Below are 8,168 nucleotides of genomic sequence, written 5' to 3'. Positions count from 1 at the left end.
AATCTCATCTTGGGTACAGGGGAAACACAGAACTGAATGCCCTGAAAAGAATCAAGTCCTCCAGAAACTTATTTTTCTGCTGACTGAAACTCAGGTCCGAGCTCATCCCTGTACAAGGCCTCACCAGATACAACCAGAGGGGCACACACTGCATGGGCTTCCACGAGCTCACATGGCAAGGCCGAAGGCTGCTGGATATAGCCTCGGAGGCAGAGCTGGCCCTGACCCGGGCCTCCCCATCTTGGTTAGCAGAGCTCTCCACCCTCCCACCCTGTGGGTGCCCTCATCGGGGTCCTGCTGCCCCATGAGATGCATGTGGAGCCCACCCAGGACCCTGCACACTCACTCCCGGGCCCTCCTGACCACTGTCCTGTGGAGCAGACAAGCAGGTGGGAATGTCAAGGGCCAGACTGTGCTCCCTGCTGCCCCCAACTCTTCTTGGCTGGCCCCAGCCCACGACCTCTGATCTCCCTCACTGCAGCCCAGGGACCTCCGAGGCTCTGGTCTGGCCAGGGTGACCTTTGACCTCTGGTCCTGCCAGGGTGACCCTGACGCAGGCCCTGCCAGGCGGCACCCTCGGAAAAGCACAGGTCGCAGGGGAGCTGAGGCTCCACCTGGGCTCTGAGACCGGCTGGTCCCACAGCCTTTTTTAGGACAAAGAACAGGATGAGGAGGGTAAAGGCGGATGCAGGAGGTGATGCCACAATATTGCCCAGATCTGATTAGAAAACGCTGGAAGTTTTAAAAAGCATGCATTGGGGAGAAGCCACTCAAGTTGAGAACTGGCTCACTTCCCGCCTGTGTGTGTTTTCATTTCACCAGGGGAGAGTTTTGTGAGTACCAGTGCTCAGAAAGCTTTAAGAAGAAGCCTTCTGGAGAAGCAAAACTCACAGTAATGCCGCCATCAGAGTTCTAGAAGATTAAACCACAAGGAACAGGGAGGGCTCCCAGAGCAGGGAGCAGATGTGTGGCAAACGTGCCTTCCTCATTCCTTTTTTCTGTGCGTGATGGGTGTTTATCCACTGTACTTACCTCAATGCCTAACATGTTAAAAATTAAAATTAAAAAAATTGTATTATTAATTTATTAATGTATTATTTGTAATTTATATTATTTATAATGTGTTGTTTATAACTTACTATTAACTTAATTAAAAAATAGCCTGGGCCCAGTGGCTCACGCCTGTAATCCCAGCACTTTGGGAGGCTGAGGCAGGTGAATCACGAGGTCAGGGGTTCGAGACCAGCCGGGCCAAGATGGTGAAACTCTGTCTCTAGTGAAAATACAAAAGTTAGCCGGGTGCGGTGGCGGGTGCCTGTAATCCCAGCTACTCGGGAGGTGAGGCAGGAGAATCACTTGAACCCGGGAGGCAGAGGTTGCAGTGAGCCGAGATCGCGCCACTGCACTCTAGCCTGGGTGACAGAGCAAGACTCCGTCTCAAATCAAATCTGTGATGTGTGCTGATCAATAGGGAGAAGAAAAACATGATCCACAGGCAAAGCAGCAACTGCGTGGAGAGAACGCCACCATTTCCCGCTAACATCCTAGTGACGACAGAGACAGGCAACAGTCGCCGAGGCCCAGCCAACTCCCACACAGTGCTGTTGAGAAAGCAAAGACAGCTTTACAGACTTGATGCCAAGGACCCAGGACATTAACTGTGGCGTGACAGTCCCCACAGGCTACTTCAGGGCAGATGTCCACGGCCTGAACCCTGGAGGCCAGGTGGTAAGTCCAGGCCACGGTGCCCAGCAAGAAGCAGGTGTCCCTGAGAACCCAGACACCCCTGAGTGGATGTGGGAACCACCACGGAGAGCGGGACTCCTATAAGCCCACTGTTCAAGATGCCCCAGCAAACTGGTCAGTTATAAACGTTGCTACAGGTCCCTGAAAAAAAAACGAAACTGGATGAGGTTTCCCTCTTGTCTTGTAGGTCCCTGGGAGCTTGAACTTGTAACCATGTGGTTGTGCTTTCTTTTTTCACAATGGCGGCCCGTGTTTAGGGCCCAATTCCTGTCTTAGGGGATGAGTCCTTCGTCTTCTATTTATATGTGTTGTGTGTGTAATATAAAAGAGTTTTGATTAATTGGTTTAATTACAATAACAGCTTAAATCAAATATTTTGTCAGAAAAGTAAATAGTGTAATAACTTTTATTTAGCTCATGTGACTGAAGTAATCTTTGGGAAATAAAAAGTTTTAAAGATTATTGGTAAAATAAAGACATTTGGTCTAAATTATGCAGGTAGGATATGAAGTTTACTCAATGCTTTAAGGTCATAAACTGCTTATTTGACTTTTGAAAATTGTCCAATTTACCTAGCTTGGGGACATTAGATTCTAGCTAAGGCCTGGGGACATGTGGAGAGCCACACCCTAGCCATGCGGGAGGGTCTGCCCTCATCTGCACTTCTGTCTGGTGGGTCCCAGGCTAGGCCCCACACCTGGCACATAATGAAAAATCCCTGACTTACCAAGATTTTCACCAAAAGCAAAAGGTGCTAAAAGCTAACACTGTATTTGAGACTACGCAAGAAATAGTTCCACACCCAAGGCGAAAAGGAAAGTAGAATATACTTTTGGTAAAGATTATAAGAAGTCATGGGAATGTGGATGTTTCTGCCTAGATTAAAGGGTTAAAGTATTGTTTTAAGTTAGGATCAAGCTAAAGGTTTGAACAAGTTGTGGAAGGTTTGTAAAAAATTAATTGTAAAAGAAATTCTGTGTATGGACATTGGCTAAAGTTAAAGGGGTATTATTCAGTTTTCCTGTAAATTAAACATAGGAATAAAAACATAACAGGTTTTTCTTAAAGCAAAATCCTGCTTATAATCCACTCTTTAACAAAAAAAAATTGTAAAGGGTTATAAAAGGTATAAGAATCTTACCTTAGGGGCCGGGCATGGTGGCTCATGCCTGTAAGCCCAGCACTTTGGGAGGCCCAGGCAGGTGGATCACCTGAGGTCAGGAGTTCAAGAACAGCCTGGCCAACATGGTGAAACCCTGTCTCTACTAAAAATACAAAAATTAGCTGGGCATGGTGGTGGGCACCTGCAATCCCAGCTATTCAGGAGACTGAGGCAGGAGAATTGCTTGAACCCAGGAGGCAGAGGTTGCAGTGAGCCAAGATTGTGCCACTGCACTCCAGTCTGGGCAACAAGAGCAAAACTCTGTCTCAAAAAAAGAATCTTACCTTATGGTCAAACTGATTAAGATTAAATACATTTGTCTATAAGGTTTTATTAAGATTAGGGTTTAGCATTAATAGTACACTAATGTAAAGGTGAGATTTGGCTTATTTGGTATAAAAATCATACAGGAAGCATTGTCAAATATGAAATAATGTTTGGCTAACTTTGGGCTGTATTTGAATAAATATGTTATTGGTATGTGTTCCAAAATTATAAGAAAGTTCTATAATTCTGATATGACTTAGTGTATGTTATTAATAGTGAAAATTGTTACATAACATTGTTATATGCCACAGAAATAACCAAATTTCATTATCAATTTTGACTTTAATAGTGGCTGGCCTAAGACTTTTGTCATCCACAGACAATTGTCTTGTTTTGGTCCTCTTTAAAAGGTGGTTTTATAATCAACCATAGGACTTTGACAGGTGCACTTAAATGCAGGTTTCCGACAGCTTTGGAAGTTGTGACATTAGAATAGAGGAAAAAACTTTCAGGACTCATGGAAAGCCAAAATATTCATGAATAGCAAGCAGAACTGGAGTTAACTGCGTGGACTAAACTGAAGTAATCTTTTTAACTTCGCTTAAAATGTTGCTGATCCTTTGTTTTCTTTTTCAGAGTCAAGGAAACTTAAGCTATTTGCAGCTTCTAACAATTGAGTAGGCCAGGCACGGTGGCTCACGCCTGTAATCCCAGCACTTTGGGAGGCTGAGGCGGGCCAATCATGGGGTCAGGAGATCGAGACCATCCTGGCTAACACAGTGAAACCCCGTCTCTACTAAAAAAAAAACAAAAAATACAAAAAATTGGCCAGGTGTGGTGGCGGGTGCCTGTAGTCCCAGCTACTCGGGAGGCTGAGGCAGGAGAATGGTGTGAACCTGGGAGGCAGAGCTTGCAGTGAGCAGAGATCGCACCACTGCACTCCAGCCTGGGCGACAGAGTGAGACGCTATCTCAAAAAAAAAACAAAAACAAACAAACAAAAACAATTGAGTAAAGCACACTCCTGTGAACAAAATTTTGAGTATATTTGTTTCTCCGTACTTCATTTCTCCAGAATTTGGAAACTATTTGTGAGTATTCTTAATTTATGGCAATACAGTTGTTTGCATAAGTGCAATAAGAATCTGTTTTCATTTGTAACAGGACACAACTGGAGAAACTGGCTATTTTGCCAAGGCTTTGACTGGAATAGTGTGTTTTCCTTTAAGGAATCCAACTTGACTTGTAGAGTCAATAAAAGCCCCTCGGGAAAACATACCTTGTCTATATAGTCCCTGGACAGGGGGCCTGACCTGTGGTAAGTGAAAAATGTCACTTTATGACAGGCTCAGGAGCCCCAAGTTATCTTGTGACCTCAAGAGGAGAGGAATTTACCTAACTCATAGGTATTTTAGGGCACAAAGCCATGGCTAGGCTCGGCTTTTAAAAAAAAGTCTTATCCATTTATGCAGCCGACAGACACATGAAAAAATGCTCATCATCACTGGTCATCAGAGAAATGCAAATCAAAACCACAATGAGATACCATCTCACACTAGTTAGAATGGCAATCATTGAAAAGTCAGGAAACAACAGACGCTGGACAGGATGTGGAGAAACAGGAACACTTTTACGCTGTTGGTGGGACTGTGAACTAGTTCAACCATTGTGGAAGTCAGTGTGGCAATTCCTCAAGGATCTAGAGCTAGAAATACCATTTGACCCAGCGATCCCATTACTGGGTATATACCCAAAGGATTATAAATCATGCTACGATAAAGACACATGCACACGTATGTTTGTTGTGGCACTATTCACAATAGCAAAAACTTGAAACCAACCCAAATGTCCACCAATGATAGACTGGATTAAGAAAATGTGGCACATATAACACCATGGAATACTATGCAGCCATAAAAAAGGATGAGTTCATGTCCTTTGCAGGGACATGGATGAAGCTGGAAACCATCATTCTGAGCAAACTATCATAAGGACAGAAAAACCAACCACCGCATGTTCTCACTCATAGGTGGGAACTGAACAATGAGAACACTCGGACACAGGAAGGGGAACATCACACACGCGGGCCTGTCATGGGGTGTGGGGCAGGGGGAGGGATAACATTAGGAGAAATACCTGATGTAAATGACGAGTTAATGGGTGCAGCACACCAACATGGCACATGTATACCTATGTAACAAACCTGCACACTGTGCATATGTATCCTAGAACTTAAAGTATAATAATAAAAAATAATAATAATAAAAGAAAAAAGTCTTATCTGAGATTCCTTCTATGGAACACAGTTTCATCAAAGCCAATTTTAAAAGTCTATGTGAAAAATAATTATTCTTGCTGCACTTTATACAAATAATCAGGCCAAGTATAATAAAGCAAATCAGTCTTACAATGATTTGTCCTTAGTGAAAATGGGGTACTGGAGAGACAGAAATTATGTTTCAAAAACTATGGTACACCTATTTTTAAATTCTAGTCTCATCAGTTATTTTTAAGAATTTTTTCCTGCAACTTAGACTAACCCTGCTTACTCCTGTGAACCAACCAGTGAACTCTGGCTGCTGCTCAGAAGAAACAAGAGGGATGGGAAATGTAAAAATCTGACTCAATATTCTAATTCTAGGCACATTGGAATCAGCTAGCGACCTCCTGTCAGCTTGGTTCCAGCAGTTGCCTAGTTCATGGAAAGCCTTCTGATTTAGTTTACTTGGGGTAATTTTACTTATTTTGCCTTACTGTTGTGGAATATATCACTGTTGTGCTCTGTGTAGGATTGCAGGATAAGCTTACAGAATGTTTCCTTAAATTTCTTAAATTCTTAAATTTGCCAGAACTTGGAGTTATGAACGGCTCTCGCCACACGGGAGCTCCTGTCTAACCTGAATGCGAGAGACCTAACAGTTAGGCAGGAATATCATCACCTCTATTCAGCCTGAAGAAGTTACAGAAGATGGATCTCTGTCCCTCTGCAACCCTTAGGATTAAGGGTTCTCTTGTAAAAGGGAGGGGGAAATGTCAGAGGCATTTGAACCAGAGCATTTACATCTTAAATAGGCGTTTCCATATAGGAAGTTACCCTGTACGGTCTACAAAGGGAAGGCATGAATAATCCACTCCGTTTAGCAAATAATCAAGAAATAACCATAAAAACAGGCAACCAGCAGCCCTTGGGGCTGTTCTGTCTATGGAGTAGCCATTCTTTATTCCTTTACTTTCCTAATAAACTCACTTTCACTTTACCCTATGGACTCGCCCTGAATTCTTTCTTGCACGAGATCCAAGAACCCTCTCTTAGGGTCTGGATCAGGACCCCTTTCCTATAACACATTCACTTAAAAATAAGACACTGTGTTTGCTGACACTTAGAGTAATGGCTGTATCTATGCTGCCCAATGCTGAGTAAGCACCACAAAACGCAAATAATAAAGATAAATTATAATACTTAACTCTGAAACACATCTCAAGTCACCACCCTCTCTCCTGCCTGCAGCCAGGGGGCCCCAAGCCGCCTGCAGAAACAGGGCCCCTCCGCCCCCTCTTCCTGCAGGACACCCTTCATGCAGACCAGACACCCATGAACGTTCATCTCTGGCTGTTTGTCAGAAGCTGCACATTAGAAGCATATTCTTAGAAACACTGCAAAGTGAATAAAAAACATTGCAAATACCACTTGAACCGCTGGCTGAAAGAGAAACCAGACATTCTCATGGTGGGTTCGTTTCTCCTTTTCCCCTTAGGCCACATCTAAGAATTTCTAAAATCCCAGAAAACCCGAATCATCCATGGTCCAGCCCTCAGCACTGTGCGCCTGGGGAAGCTGGGAAGAAGCTGAGCCCCCAAGGGCAGCCCTGAGCCTCCCAGGAAAGGCCCCGAGTGCCTCGGGAGGGTGGGGTGCAGGCCCTGGGGGGATTCCAGGGGGCAAGGTGGCTTTCTTTCTTGTTTTGGTGGTGTCATGCTTTGGGTGTGGATAAAGCTGTGGTTTTGGCAAATTCAAGTGCACTGGAAAAGGTGAAGATGATTTCCTATAAAATGTGGGTCACACACCACAGGGGTCCATGCACAGGGCCGAGGGCTGGGGGTCCGCTCTGCAGAGCCAGGGGGCTGGGCTCAGTGAGCTGCAACCCCCACACTCTGGGATCTGGCACTGAGAACACTGGAGAGGCTCGTGACCCACCCCACCTCAAGACTCCCTGCAAGGAAGGATGCCCGGTCTTCCTGTCCCCGTCTCTGGGGCCCCACCAATGCACCTGCGGAGAGGCGGTCACGAATACTGTTTTAGAAACACAGGGATGTGTGCAGACACTTGCATTTCCTCCTCACCCACACAACACCCACTCCCCGGCCACGATGGCGTTCCCTCCCAGGAAAGGCAGGGCCTCCTTCCACACTGGTCTCTGTGGGACGAGGGCTCTTGGGCACCTGGCGCTGAAAATACTGGGGTCCTGGTGGTGGTTTCACCACAGGAGAGGCAAGCCAAGAAGACCTCAGGCTACTGCCCGCCCCCCACCCCGAATCTCAACTCCTAGGTGGGTGATGATGGGTGTCACCCAAAAGGAAGCTTGCCAGGGTTCCCTCATCACCACCCACCAAGCTCCAGGGGTTGTGCCTGGAGGGAGCAGGCTATAAAACAGATAACTCCGAATCTCTTCCCAAAGGAGCTGATTTCACTGAAACAAAGTGTGGGGAGGTGCAAGCCTAAGAGTGCTCTCAAAAACAGTGAACGGCTGAAGGGAAAGCGCAGATGCAGGCTTGGCTGTAGACATGCTAGTTTGCCCAAGAGAACGTGTAAAAGAGACAGCTCCGAGGAGCCTGCTGAAGTCAGAACAAATCTCAAACACAGGCCTCAGGAACTACCCTTCAAAGGATCCTAAATTTGATTCTTTAGGATGTAGAGTGATTTATGCTCCAGAGTGTTGTTAAAACAATAGAGCGATTAGTGGATTAGACAGCTGGGTATGGCCAGGAAAAGAGAGTCA

At 45.4% G+C, this 8,168-nt stretch overlaps 1 annotated feature.

Moving 5' to 3' along the window:
• Positions 344 to 845: an enhancer, noted in NCBI's record as "H3K4me1 hESC enhancer chr18:77825575-77826076 (GRCh37/hg19 assembly coordinates)". NCBI's record gives its function as "activates a minimal SCP1, AML or CMV promoter by ChIP-STARR-seq in naive H9 embryonic stem cells {active_cell/tissue: H9 hESC(naive)}" and the evidence as "EXISTENCE:reporter gene assay evidence [ECO:0000049][PMID:30033119]".

Source organism: Homo sapiens, chromosome 18 (assembly GCF_000001405.40).
Source record: "Homo sapiens chromosome 18, GRCh38.p14 Primary Assembly".
NCBI classification, from domain to species: Eukaryota; Metazoa; Chordata; class Mammalia; order Primates; family Hominidae; genus Homo; species Homo sapiens.
Note: the sequence above shows the minus strand (reverse complement) of the source record. Positions and strands in the feature narration are given on the sequence as shown.